The 14,476-nt window shown below is 36.8% G+C and overlaps 1 protein-coding gene and 1 long non-coding RNA gene across 2 annotated transcripts in view; one reads left to right on the top strand and one right to left on the bottom strand.

Moving 5' to 3' along the window:
* Positions 1-888: 888 nt before the first annotated feature.
* REEP3 (receptor accessory protein 3) overlaps positions 889-14,476 on the bottom strand; it is a 103,728-nt gene continuing 90,140 nt past the window's right edge. The window contains exons 7-8 of the mRNA NM_001001330.3: positions 6,217-6,362; positions 889-5,204 (exon numbers count right to left, since the gene is read on the bottom strand). Coding sequence (NP_001001330.1) covers positions 5,148-5,204; positions 6,217-6,362 — 203 coding nt within the window. The 3' untranslated portion in view covers positions 889-5,147. The remainder of the gene's footprint in view (positions 5,205-6,216; positions 6,363-14,476) is intronic.
* The window catches only part of LOC105378329 (uncharacterized), a 33,332-nt gene continuing 19,759 nt past the window's right edge, over positions 904-14,476 (top strand). Inside the window, exons 1-2 of the long non-coding RNA XR_001747467.3 lie at positions 904-1,198; positions 11,325-11,440. This is a non-coding gene — a long non-coding RNA (uncharacterized LOC105378329). The remainder of the gene's footprint in view (positions 1,199-11,324; positions 11,441-14,476) is intronic.

The following is a 14,476-nucleotide window of genomic DNA, read 5'->3' as shown; positions in this document are numbered from 1 at the left end:
TTTCTTTTTATGAGTATTCCCCAAGGCACCGGTTGAAAATATAAGAAACTGTGGCAGTCCTAAGGGACTCAAGGTTAAAAGTCACCTTGAAAAATTTGCAAGGCTACTGAAAATGTAGTAAGGTTTCAAGAGTGAGATGGTCAGATTCAGGATGTATTCTGGAGATAAGACAGCCAAAACAATTTACCAATGTATTGGATGTAAGAGGTAGGGGAAGGGAACCAATAATTAAAAAACAAAAACTGCTCTGAGAGAACCACATGAATTATTCAATAGCCAAGAATAAATTCTAGAATAAATAATACTCAAATAATCCAAACATTGATTTGGTTGGTAATGGTGAATTCATTTTATTAAGAGCAAGAATTGTTTCCCTTAAATTAATTCTATGCTACTTTACTTGGATATAAGCATTGTGCAGAAACCTAACAGTGCTCTCATAAGAAGCAGGTAATCAGTGGATATTTTTGAATTAAAAAAAAAATAGATGCTGATTTGATTTGCACATAATGCCAAAATAACACGCTTGCCTTTTTCTCTCTTAATCTGGGATTGTAAGGTAAACAGTACGCATGGTGACTTTCCTGCTTTTGTTGAGCATGGTCCTTTAGTTATTTACACTTATAGACAATTATCAATCCTGTGCTTTAAAATTTCAATTCAAAGCATTGTCTTATAAAAAGCAGTTTAAAAAACGTTACCAAGGACAGACCATAAGGAGAGTGTTTTAAGACTAAAATACTGATGAGTAGGTAAAGGGGTAGAATGTTTTCCCAGGGAACAATTCATCAGCCTCTGACATGATGTTTGTTTTGTAAATCTCTTTTTTCAGAACAGTGAACGATTTAAAGGGAGACTAAAACACTGAAAAAAAATGCCGTTCATATATTGTGTTCTTTTGAATTTTTATTTATATTTCTAACCTCTTTAGATCATTACAAGTATATACCTCATAATGAAAATGAAAATAATTCCATTTAAAATGCTATCTAGAAAGACCTTAACACGCATTATGTGTCATAATGAAGTAACACAAAGAAACTTCTTAAAACATAGGATTTCTCTCTAAAGCTTAAATGTGAGGCAGACAGACGTCTAACTTTAAAACAGATGGAACCCCAGAACATTTCCAGGATACATAAATCTGAATTTTGTGTTACATTTTATGCCTGAGACAGCTAACCCATCCAAATTGATGGTGAGGATTTCTGTACTCATTGTTTTTCCTATCTTTCCTTTCTAACATCCAAATTTAACAATTCAGTATTTCTTTTTCATAATCCTATGGATGACCATACCAGAATGTTTATGATTTTCATAATTTGCTCTGTGATCTGTAATCCTAAGTGTGTGCATATATTTAATCAACACATAATAATAAGTAATACCAATTCATGGAATCCAACATATGTACTCTGGCATAAAAAAAGAAACGCGAATTGCCACAAATAAAATGAGTTTATTTTATATTAAAGTTATCAAAAAACACACCTGTAAAATTACCCACATACTAGGCTTAGAGATAGCCTTTTACAAACAGATTATTAAAAATCTGCAAACTTATTTTCTCTTAACTATTAAAGTACATAGATTTAAAAGGTGTTAGAAGGCAAAATGTTAAGTCATGGTCAATGTCTTAAAAAAGAGTTAATATAATTAAATCTGTAGCATACTACAAAAAGATTAAATCTTAAAAATATTTTGGGAAAAAAGCTATAATTTTCTTTCTGAAAAATTTAATCTTAAGTGATATTTACTAAGAAATATATACTGCAAACCACAATAACAATGATCTTCTCAAAATTTGCCTAATTGCTTCACAAATGAGTCAACTTACAAAGAAGAAAACACAGAAAATTGCTTTTAAATATATAACTCCTTAATTTTCCTGATAATCAAATGAAAATTTAGTCCATCCCAATTAATACAAATTAGACTCATGCTTAATGTAAGATATCATTATATATTTCTTAACAACATAAAAGTTCAAGCATTTTTGGAAAGCACAGACTGTGTTATTCTAAAAAAGGAAAAAAAAGAAAAAAATATTTAACCACAGAAATTTGGAATATTTATATACTTTATAACACTGTAGAAATCTTTGGTGGTGACATATGGAATAAGATCCCTGAAAATACTTTAATCATTTTGTCCCATCAATCAGTGTAGTCAAGTATTTATAATCAGTAATTTTGGCAGTATAATTTTTTAGCCAAATACACACACACACACACACACACACACACACACACACACACACATATATATTGTGAAGTATGTGAGGGGGATCTTATGCAGGACCTAGGTGGGCTTACATAATTAATTATTTAGCAATAAGGCTTATTTCTGGCTCCTTTTTATACCAGGAAAAAATATGGTAAACTAACGAATGGGTCAATTCTTACTCCTAAACAAACTCTGGAAATAGTTAAATACTAATGGACAAGTTGAGTAAATGTACAGCAAAATAAAATACCAGCTGCAATTTCTGTATAAACTCAAACATCTACCAAAATAGTTCCCTAAATAGGTTTGTGCATCTAATCCCGTGCTCCATGTGCTGGCAGAGGAAAAAGCAAGGCACTGTGGTCTATGGATACATTTACCTCTTTTAAAACCAGTAGACTTAAAAGGAGAAACAAAAAAAGATCTGTTCTACCTTAAAAGAAACAAAAATGTACAGGCTAATTAGACAAAGTTCAAAGAAAAGGGCCCCGCTAAAACACATGTACAGGAAAAGAACCAAAATTTAAGAAATGTAGAAGAGAAAGAAGAGTAAAATGATATCAACAGTGTATAATGATGTAAGGAAAGATATCAGAGGAAGCACTGTGAATGTGAAAAAGTGCAGTTAAACAGGACTTGTACTACCTCTTTGAGACTATCTTTGATAAAGAATTTTGAGTCTAGAAGTACAGAGTAATAAATAATTTCTTCAATTTAGAACAGTAATATGAGTTTACTAAAGAATAGGTTTAATACTGGGACCAGACTTTAGAGAGATAAAATGGTGGCTGGGTGCGGTGGCTCACGCCTGTAATCCCAGAAGTTTGGGAGGCCGAGGCGGGCGGATCACGAGGTCAAGAGATGGAGACCATCCTGGGCAACATGGTTAAACCCTGTCTCTACTAAAAAGACAAAAATTAGCTGGGCGTGGTAGCACGGGCCTGTAGACCCAGTTACTCGGGAGGCCGAGGCAGGAGAATCGCTCGAACCCGGGAGGCAGAGGTTGTAGTGAGCCGAGATCGCGCCACTGCACTCCAGCCTGGTGACAGAGCAAGACTCCGTCTCAAAAAAAAAAAAAAAAAAAAGGTAAAATGGTGCAAATCAGCTCCCACAGATAAAGTTCTTGACTCACATGACCTTATTAGGCAACTTCAGATGATACTGTCTTTGAGTAGGAAAGACAAGGACAGTGTAACAGTTATATTAAGAAGTCTAGTACCAGGTCATATAAATAAAACTCTGTTCCGATAATTTACAATTAGAATTCATAGAAATTTGGAATAGAAATTAGAGTCCTTCCAGAAATTAAGAGGCTAAAAATTAGGGTAAAGTAGATAGAGTTATTCAGAATTAAACGTTGGGAGAAGAAAACTGAATTAATTTTACTTGTTATATATGAAGAATGTGAAATAATCCATAAAATATTTTATGACTAGTATCATGAGACAATGTATGCATTATACCAAGGTACTCCTGTGTAAACATTATGTTCTTGGCCAATACTCTGAGGAAGTCCTGAATATACATTACCAGCTGGCTTCATTTCTTAAAAGGGAGACAGATCAAAGACCTCTCGAATCTCTCTCATCATTTTATCTTTTGGACAAACAAATAGAACAGTCAAGTAAATTACCTGAACAAGCATAATAAGTACAAATTTGATTACTGATCACTAAAACCACCAAAAATATATTGACTTAGGGTTCATAATGCATAGTTATCAGTTCAAGCTAAGAAAGCCTTAAGAATTCAATAACTCAAAATCTCTTTGAGATTTAAAGTTAAAAAGTAATATGTTTCTAATAATTTCTAATGTGCAGGATTAATGACAACTGTATTTTGCATTGGCAAATTATCTCAGCCAGAAGAGATTCAAATGATTTTCGTCAATGCCAGTTTATAAACTAGCAGCACATGTCAATGCCAAGCTTGTGAATGGATTGGCTGAGAAAAATTATATGAGTTAGAAGGGATCTAAGTGCTATACTGGTCACTGATTCTATTTCACAAAAGCTACCATTTTTAAAAGCTGAAAATGTAATTGGTGTTGACAAAAACATGTTAAGTTCAATTACTCTGTATAGCTAAATATAGAAAATTGGTTAATGTTTAAAGCAACTTCTTATTTGTTAAGAAGATAATTAAAAATAGTTAAAACTGAACAATTAGCTATACTTTTATATTATTAAAATCCAATGAATTTAACAAATGAAACCCACAGGAAAAGAGATGATATAATTCAAGGCATAGATTTGACATGTCAGAATACGGCAAAAACAATAAAGATAGCATCAGTAAAACAGTTGTAAAATAAGTAAACAATTTTCAAGTGTGCAAAACTAGTCAGGAATAAAAGTGCTATGTGTGGATACCTGGTTTTCAAATATTTGTTTCAAAAACTTTCAGCTGATGGTGGAAAAACTAGAAAGTATTATATAAGTAAAAATTTAAAGAATATATAAAACCTACTTTATTATCTTACATTATGTCCTTGTTATGTCACTGCTGAATCTGAGGCCTATTTAATTACCAGATACAACACAAAAGGAGGTAAACACAGTACATCACAAAGGCTGATTTATCCTGAACCGTAAAAAGGCTCCTTTCAAGTATACTGTGGATTTGTGTTTCATCTTATATCTCAGGCACTCTAGGCTGTTGATGAATTTGAAAACGGACAACATGATTTTCTATAATTTCTAATATACATATTTAGTACATCTTGCAGAACTGCCTTTAGTAGTCAATATTTGGAAGCAATTGTTACAGAAATAAAAACAATTTAAATTCATGAAAGTAAACCCCATCACTGCCACAATTTAAATAATCATTTTAATGTGTAAATCCTGAATATATCATGTTAGAAGATGAAGTCGATGTATTTAGCATAATCTGTCTTGGGATATTTGACGTGTAGATGACTAAAAATACACTTGTGGTCGTTTCTTCACTTTGTATTTTAGTGACCCGTACCGCACCTGAAGAGAGAAATGTTTTATTATTAAGAATTAGATGATTACTTTAAAAAATTACATCAGATTTAATAGTTCATAATCATAGTAATTTTTTTACCTTTTTGATATAAAGAATGAATTCTCTTAATAAATGTATATAAGACAGCACTACTTATAAACTCATAAAAAATGTAGTTGGTAATATTTAGATATATGTTACAGATTATTACTAATAACATAAAAACATTAATCCTATTATTTATGTTTTGCTTAGTACAATGTCAATGAACATTGATTATAATGATCAGAGGCCATTCACAGTCCTCCACTGCTTTCTGGGTATAAAGACAATATGTTATTATGGTTAACTGTTTACTATTTAATCTTCATGTAGCATTAGTTGAAAGCAAAACTGTGTGGTTAATTTTATTCATTGCTTTCTTTGTTTATGCATAGGGCTGGGACTGGGTATTTGAACTATGTGATTTGCTAAATGAGAATGCCATTTTCTACGTATAGCAGAAGATTAAGAGTTTACCATTTTCAAAATTTCCTGATATCCTGATACATTGATCTGAATAAAGAATTTTAAATATAAACTGCTGGCCAGGTGAGGTGGCTCACGCCTGGAATCCCAGCACTTCGAGAGGCGGAGGCGAGAGGATTGCTTGAGGCCAGGTGTTCAAGACCAGCCTGGGCAACATGGTGAAACCCTGTCTCTACAAAAAATGAAAAAATTAGCCAGGTGCGGTGGCATGTGCCTGTAGTTCCAGCTACTTGGGAGATTGAGGTGGGAGGACTGCTTGAGCCCAGGAGTTTGAGTGAACTGTGATTACGCCACACTGCACTCCAATTTGGTTGACAAAGCAAAAAAGCTCTATCCCCAAAAACTAAAAAAAAAAAAAAAAAAAAAAAAAATCAAACTGCTGTTCTACCATTCCAATCCTTCATTTATGGATCATTAATATCCTAAATGATAACACAGCAGGGAAATCCTTCACTAATCATTAGGAAAACAGCTCTACACTTAACCAACCTCTTTGCGGCCTTTGGTGGTTTTCACAGATTTCATGCTTTGCGATCTTCGAAGCCCTTTGTGTGTTAACATCTCATTATCTGAATATGGCCCCTCTGCTTCTTCATCTGTTTTCTCATCTCCGTCTTTCAGTGGAATTCCATAACCTAAACAAGTTGTCAAAAACAGCATGTTTTGGTAAAAGGACACCAGTCAGCGCCGGCTCTTTGACCCATCTGTGTACAGTTCTTTGTATGGTTTGCATTTCCCCCAGTTACTCTTTTTGCATCTGGAATGTGCTCCATGCCCTTTATCATTAAGCTTTGCCTCGCACTATTCCAGGTGAAACTCATAACTCATTTCCTCCAGGAAATTTTCCCTGATCATTCTTATTTTTACTATGCATTTTTAAAAATAATTATAAAATAATTTATTTTTGAGTAGGTAACACACCATCTTGTTAAAAAATTCAAGAATATAAATAGATATAGAGCAAAAAGTCTCTTCCCACCTTTCCTCCTCTTCATGAATTCAACCCAAGCATTTGTGTTTTAGTCTGTCATTTGCACTTTTGCCTTGAATTAGGAATTAAGGCTTTTCCGTTCTATGTGTCGTATCTTTTGTCAAGACTGGGAATGGTAGGGTTTACTTAAGGCATTGAGGAAGACCCCAGGGGGCTAGAACTTTGGGCAAAATAAGGTCACTGGGGGCAGGTGATGAGGATGGGGATGTTAGCTGCTATTGCAGTTGCTGAGATAAAACCCAGCCAGGTAGGCTGCAGTAATTAGAAGTACCACAGACTGTGTGACAGATACTAGTCAAAGAAAATAGAATCAGGCAGATCAGTGAGAGATCACGCGAGTATGCTAGAAGGCTGTTATGTGTAGCTATAAAGACTTACTACGGGCCAATATGCAAACATCCACACAGTCAGGAAGTCTGAGAGCATCTTGAGGCTTGGCCTCAAGGACGAAAACTCTTCCAACCCTGAAGCTGAGGTTCTCAAACTTGAGCACGTCAGAGTTACCTTGAGAACCTGTTAATACAAGTTCTGACAACCCCAGAATTTCTGATTCAGCAGATTTGAGGTGGGGCTGAGAATCTGCATTTCTGACAAGTTCCCAGGTAATGCTTGTGCTCATGGTCTGTGGTCCACACTTTGAGAACCACTGCCTGAGGATGCTGGAGACAGCAAGACAGGGGCCCAAGTCTCAGACAACCAGAGTACTAAGTAGGTTATAAAGAAAGGGGTGAGATTAGAAATCCCCATGAAGAGGCCGGGCATGGTGGCTCACGCCTGTAATCCCAGCACTTTGGGAGGCCCAGGCGGGTGGATCATGAGGTCAGGAGATCAAGACCATCCTGGCTAACATGGTGAAACCCTGTCTCTACTGAAAATACAAAAAAAATTAGCCAAGCATGGAGGCAGGCGCCTGTAGTCCCAGCTACTCGGGAAGCTGGGGCAGGAGAATGGCATGAATCCGGGAGGCGGAGCTTGCAGTGAGCTGAGATCGCGCCACTGCACTCCAGCCTGGGTGACAGAGCGAGACTCCATCTCAAAAAAAAAAAAAAAAAAAAAAAAAAGAAGAAGGAAAGAAATCCCCATGAAGTTATAAATTCTCCTTTAATAAAAATAAGGAGCATAAGGAGCATAAATACTTAAATTGTCAGGTGAGGAGAAAGTGGAAGGACTTACAGCCAGGCGCAGTGGCTCACACCTGTAATCCCAGCACTTCGGGAGGCCAAGGTGGGCGGATCACCTGAGGTCAGGAGTTCGAGACCAGCCTGGCCAACATGGTGAAACACCCGACTCTACTAAAAACACAGAAATTAGCTGGGCGTGGTGGCAGGAGTCTGTAATCCCAGCTACTTGGGAGGCTGAGGCAGGAGAATCGCTTGAACCCAGGAGGTGGAGGTTGCAGTGAGCTGAGATTGCACCACTGCACTCCAGCTTGGGTGACAGAGCAAGACTCCATCTCTTTAAAAAAAAAAAAAAAAAAAAAAAAAAAGAGTAGAAGGATTTCCAGGCTTAGGAGAAGGCACGGGATAGATTCCGTGCATGTGATAAAAAATAAAACTGGGGTGGGCTTTGGTGGCTCATGCTGATAAAAAATAAAACTGGGGTGGGCTTTGGTGGCTCATGCCTGTAATGCCAGCACTTTGGGAGGTCAAGGCAGGTGGTTCGCTTAAGCTTAGGAGTTTGAGATCAGCCTGGGCAACATGGTAAAACCTTTTCTCTACAAAAAATACAAAAATTAGCCGGGTATGGTGTTGTGCACCTGTAGTCCCAGCTCCTCCAAAGGCTGAGGTAGGAGGATCACCTGAGCCTGGGAAGTCAAGGCTGCAGTGAGCTGTGATCATGCCACTGCATTATAGCCTGTTTCAAAAAATATACATATTAAAAAAATTGAATACATGTTTATTGGTCTGCTCTTCTAAGACACGAATAATTTGAGAAACACTAAGCAAACTACAAAGAGTTGTTAATAAGCTTGTTACTCTCATAATAACATAAGCAACTTGCATTGTATATTAGTCAGGTATAATTTTATGTTCTTAGACTTCTAGGCTAGAAGTCAGAGGAGATTTGGAAGTGGAATCAGTCCTTATTTAGGCCAAGATCCTTTGTTTTCTTGCAGTGGTCCAAGGAAGTGTGTGTGTTCCGGGTGGAAGAAACAGCATGCACAGAGGCAGTGAGGAGAGTAGCTAGGGCTTGGGGATTGCTTGGAAGAACTGCAAGGAGGCCAGTGTGGCAAGGAAGGGGATGGATCAGTGGTCCTGGAAAAAAGCTCCTGAAGCAATATTAAGTGTGGAAAAAAAAAATGTACATATAGAAACAAACAAAGGAAAAACATAAATGAAAGGATTATATCTCATGGAAGTGAGCTTTCAGGTGATTTTAAATTTTTTCATTTTTTCTTTTTTTACTTGCCAAATTCTTATTTTTAAAAAATGTTTATTTTATAATTGAGAAAAATAAACCAGGCTTCAGGTTTAGGTTGTCATTTCTAGATTTTTTTTCCTATTGATGTTTGCTTATATAGTATTCCTGATCCTAATATGGTAAAACAGAATGAGGAATCAAGGAAAAAGTCAGAAAGGAAGTAACTGTGATAAACAATTTCTCTAAGGCCACAAATGTAGCATAAGAGCACAGTTCAACAAACCCAGTCCTTGCTATTTTAACTGCCTCTCATTTTGTATGATTAGGAATTGGAATTTCATTCAAAAGCTGATTATACATCTTATTCTTTTCTTTTTTCCTAATTCCAGCTAAAAAAAATCTTATTAGCTATCTAATTATAGCTTCAGGAAAAGTGATGGATTGATTCATTACTCCACAAGTATTTTTAAAATTCTATTATGAATGAGGCAGTGTGCTGAATTATGAGGATACAAGGATGAAAAAGACACAGCTGTCTTTTTCTACCCTCAAAAAATTTAGAGTCCAATAGGGGAAACAGACGGTAATGGGCATTATGATACTGTAATAAATACTATAAGCTAATGACAAGGTGCCAGAGGGCATACAGTAAGAGAATGTAATCAGCATGGGGTGGGTTGGAAAGGGTGGGTTATGAGAGAAGGCCTTGTAGGAGGTGGTGGCTAAGCTAAATCCTCAAAGAGTCATGATTCTGTATGGCTAGCACTTGATGGAGTGGGAGAACAAGGCTGGGGAGTTAATACACCATGCTATCTAGTTTGGACTTCGTCAGAGAGCAATGAAGCCTCTGGAGGCTCGGGGAGAGTATTGAAATGTTTTAAGCAGAAGAGTAACATGATTAGAGTTGGGTTTTGTAAAATATTCTTCTTGCGCTTTGGAAAATGAATCAGAAATGGATAAGGCTGAGGGAAGGGAGCGTAAGTGGGGAGGTTACTGTAGTATAGCAGGTCAGAAATGACAGAGTCCACAGAGAGTGAGGACAGAGCAAGGAGCCAAATTTAGAATTTATTGGGAAATGAAATCCACAAGTTTAGGCTGGGTGTGGTGGCTCATGCCTGTAATCCCAGCACTTTGGGAGGCTGAGTGGGTGAATGACATGAGGCCAGTAGTTTGAGACCAGCCTGGCCAATATGGCAAAACCCCATCTCTACTTAAAAATACAAAACTTAGCTGGGTGTGGTGGCACGTGCCTGTAATCCCAGCTACTCGGGAGGCTGAGGCAGAGAATTGCTTGAACCTGGGAGGTGGAGGCTGCAGTGAGCTGAGATCGCGCCACTGCACTCCAGCCTGGGCGACAGAGTGAGACTCCACCTCAAAAAAAAAAAAAAAGTTTAATTTAGCAATTTATTAAACCAATCCTTGAATCAAAGAGAGAAGAGACACTAGAATCAAGTCAAATATTTTCATTAAAATATACATTTTCTGGCTGGGCTTGGTGACTCATGCCTGTAATCTTAGCACTTTGGGAAGCAGAGGTGGGCAACATACTGATATCCCATCTCCATTAATATATTAAAAAACAAAAACAAAAACAAAAACAAAAAAAACATTTTCTGTTTAACTTAAAACCCGAAAATGAATACCTTATTTTTTCAAAATGAAGAGTATGGCTGATTTACTTCTGATTTTAAGATTAATAGGTTAATTTAAACAACAACAACAAACGAAAAAGCTCACTACTCAGGGCTAAACACTGTTACCATTTTAGTAATACCCTTCCAAACTTTCTCTTATGTATATACATTTAAAAAATTAGGTATATTAATCCATTTCATCATCTACTTATTATTTTTTTTCCCTACAATCTGGATATGTTTTCATATCATTAAGTATAGACTGACATTGTTATGTTTCACAGCTAATAAACCACCTTTTGCTTAATCATTTCTCCTAGGCATTTGGTTCATTCCAATATTTGTTATTATAAACAACGAGATGAACATTCTTGTAAATACATCTTTGAACACTTGTCTGATTATTTCCTTATGACATATTCTTAAAAGTTTCTTGCTGAGCTAAAGGGAATAAATTATGATGATTACTGCCAGATTGTCATCCAAAAGGATTATTCCATTTTAAACTCATAAAAAGTGCCTAAGAGTATTTCTCAACAGGCTTGCTGTGTGGTTTTAAAACATGTCTACAGATTCTCTGACACTCCTCTTCCCTTCCCTTAACATCTCAGAGGCCTTTGTACTTGCCTCAACAAATCGCCACAAAATATGTGATGGAAGTGATGCTGCTTCTAGGACTTCTGCAAGTTTCTCTCGGCACACTGGCCTGGGAGCCTTCAGCTGCCAGGTAAGAAGTCCAACCACCCTTAGAGACCACATGGAGAGAACATAGAGGGAGATGGCTGAGAGGCTCCAACCATTCTAGCCAGCAGCTGCTTGACTCTTTTCAGCTCAGACAGCAGATGTGTGAGCTCTCTTTGAGATTATGACTCTAGCCCAGCTGCTGTCAGACCACAGCTGCAGGAGACCCTGAGCAAGAACTGCTTTGCCAAGTCCAGTCACCCCCAGATCTGTGAGCAAAATAAATGACCATGATTGTTTCAAGCTGCTGTTTTGGGGTGGCTTATTATGCAGCAATAGATAACTAGATAACTGAAACAGTTCCCAACACAGAGCACTGTTAATTAAAAACATTTTTTTTTGGCCAATCTGGCAAACGAAAATTATTATTATTACTATTTTTTGATTATCTGAGGTTGAGAATCTCTTTCATATATTTCTTGACAGTTGTATTCTTTGATAGCATTGACAATAATTGGTTTGTAAGGGTTACTGGATTGTTGAATCTGAACCCTTTGCCTATAACATATAATGGGAATATTTCTGACAGTTTGTAGTTTGTCTTTTTTATGTTTTTTTCCCCCTGTATTAGAGTTTTATGTATTTTTTATGCAGGAAAATCTCAAAAACTATTCCATTATGTTTTCTGGTTTTGATATCATGCTTAAGAAATTTTATCTATCTGAAGATTATAAAAATATTCACAGGGACTTCCTATTATATAGTTTAATTTTTTTATACTTAAATCTTAATCTTTTAAGAATTTATTTTAATCTAAGATTTGAGGCAGAGATATAACTTCATTCTCTACTCCACCTTCTAGCAGTCTAACAGTTATCCTAGCATCACTTATTAAATAATCTGTCTTTCCTCCACCAATTTGAAAGACAGTCTTTCTCATTTGATAAATTTCCATGTACACCTGGGTTTGTGTCTATCTAGACAATCTATTTTTAACTTCTCTTCACCTATTCCGGTCCTAGAACCATACTGCTTTGTTAAAAATACGGTCAAGAGAGAAAGTTTTGATGAAAGTTTTTCCTTAGGGAAGAAAGGCTCAGAATACATACCATTCTGTAGAAAAATTGGAAACTGGGCAGAATTTATACTCTGAACAAGTACCTTTCATAACTGAACAAATATCTTTCTTATACTGCTACCACATACTTCATATTTTTATAAAACTTATTTAATTTCATGATTTGAAATTTAAGAACTAAACAGCAGGTCAATATTTTAAGATATTTCAGTCATAGATATAAAATTTGGTAGGTGGCCAGGCACAGTGGCTCACGCCTGTAATCCCTGCACTTTGGGAAGCTGAAGTGGGCAGATCACAAGGTCAGGAGGTCGAGACCAGCCTGACCAACATGGTGAAACCCCGTCTCTACTAAAAATATAAAAATTAGCCAGGCGTGGTGGTGCACGCCTTTAATCCCAGATACTCAGGAGGCTAAGGCAGGAGAACTGCATGAACTTGGGAGGCGGAGGTTGCAGTGAGCCGAGATCGTGCCACTGCACACCAGCCTCGGTGACAGAGGTAGACTCCATCTCAAAAAGAAAAAAAAAAATTGATAGGTGAGTACCATAAAAATAGTATTACAAATTTTCATATTTATAAACGTGTTTTTATTTACCTAATTAGAATATAATTCTTAGCCAATCCTTGGGTATGATTATGAATAAACTGCTAATAAAGGACTCTGGTCTAAGATAGCTGGTCTAAATCAGCAAAATATAATATATGTAGCAGACTCCAATCAAAATCAATATACCTAATTTTTTTTTTTTTTGAGATGGAGTCTCTCTCTGTCACCCAGGCTGGACTACAGTGGCGCAATCTCGGCTCACTGCAGCCTTTGCCTCCTGGGTTCAAGTGATTCTCTTGCCTCAGCCTCCTGGGTAGCTGGGAATGCAGGCATACACCACCACACCTGGCTAATTTTTGTATTTTTGGTGGAGACAGGGTTTCGCCATGTTGGCCAGGCTGGTCTCGAACTCCTAACCTCAGGGAATCTGCCTGCCTCGGCCTCCCAAAGTTCTGGGATTACAGGTGTGAGCCACTGTGACTGACCACCTAATTTTAAATGCATATTAAGAAATGCCAAGGCCAGGCAGTGTGGCACATGCCTGTAATCCCACACAGCACTCTGGGAGGCCAAGACACACAGACTGCTTGAGCCCAGGAGTTTGAGGCCAGTCTGGGTAACATGGTGAAGCCCCGTCTCTACAAAAAATGGAAAAATTAGCAGGGCATGGTGGTGCACACCTGTAGTCCCAGCTTCTCGGAAGGCTGACACAGAATCACTTGAAACTGGGAGGTCAAAGCTGCAGTGAGCCAAGATCGTACCACCGCACTCCAGCCTGGGTGACAGAGTGAGACCCTGTCTCAAAATAAATAAATTAACAACAAAAACAAACAAAAAAATAAAAATAAAAAAGGAAATGTCTACATTAGGAACTACTTTTACATTATTAATGTACTATTAAGACTGATGGTTCCTCTCTCTCAAAGGCATCACTACCTTAATCAATGGCCAATGCTTGATCATTACCTCTTAGATAATAGTCACAACTTGTAAAGGTATTCATTCTTGGAAGAAAGCTCATTATTTTTTCTTTTTCTTTTTCTTTTTTTTTTTCTGAGAAAGGGTGTTCCTCTGTCACCTAGGCTAGAGTGCAGTGGTGTGATCATGGCTCATTGCAGCCTCAACTTCCTGGGCTCAAGTGATTTTCCCACCTGCCTCCCAAGTAGCTCGGTGAATACCACCATACTCAGCTAATAAAAAAAAAAAAAATTTTTTTTTGCAGAGATATTTTTCCTTTTTTAAGAAGGAACAGTTTTTTTAATTTTTATTTTTCAAATTGATTTTAATTATAAAGATGATTTTCAATCTCTCTCAAAAGAAAACTTCTTTTTTTAATAAAAAGTAAAATAGCCCTGTGCCTTATGGACTTAACACATTAATAAGGAATGTCTTGAAAATCTTTGTTTTCAGCCTTGCCTTTGAATTAAAACTTTCTTATTATATGTGATAAAATG

The sequence above is a fragment of the Homo sapiens genome, chromosome 10 (assembly GCF_000001405.40).
Source record: "Homo sapiens chromosome 10, GRCh38.p14 Primary Assembly".
In the NCBI taxonomy this organism is placed as follows: domain Eukaryota; kingdom Metazoa; phylum Chordata; class Mammalia; order Primates; family Hominidae; genus Homo; species Homo sapiens.
The sequence above is the reverse complement of the archived record's forward strand: the minus strand, read 5'-3'. Positions and strand labels throughout refer to the sequence as shown.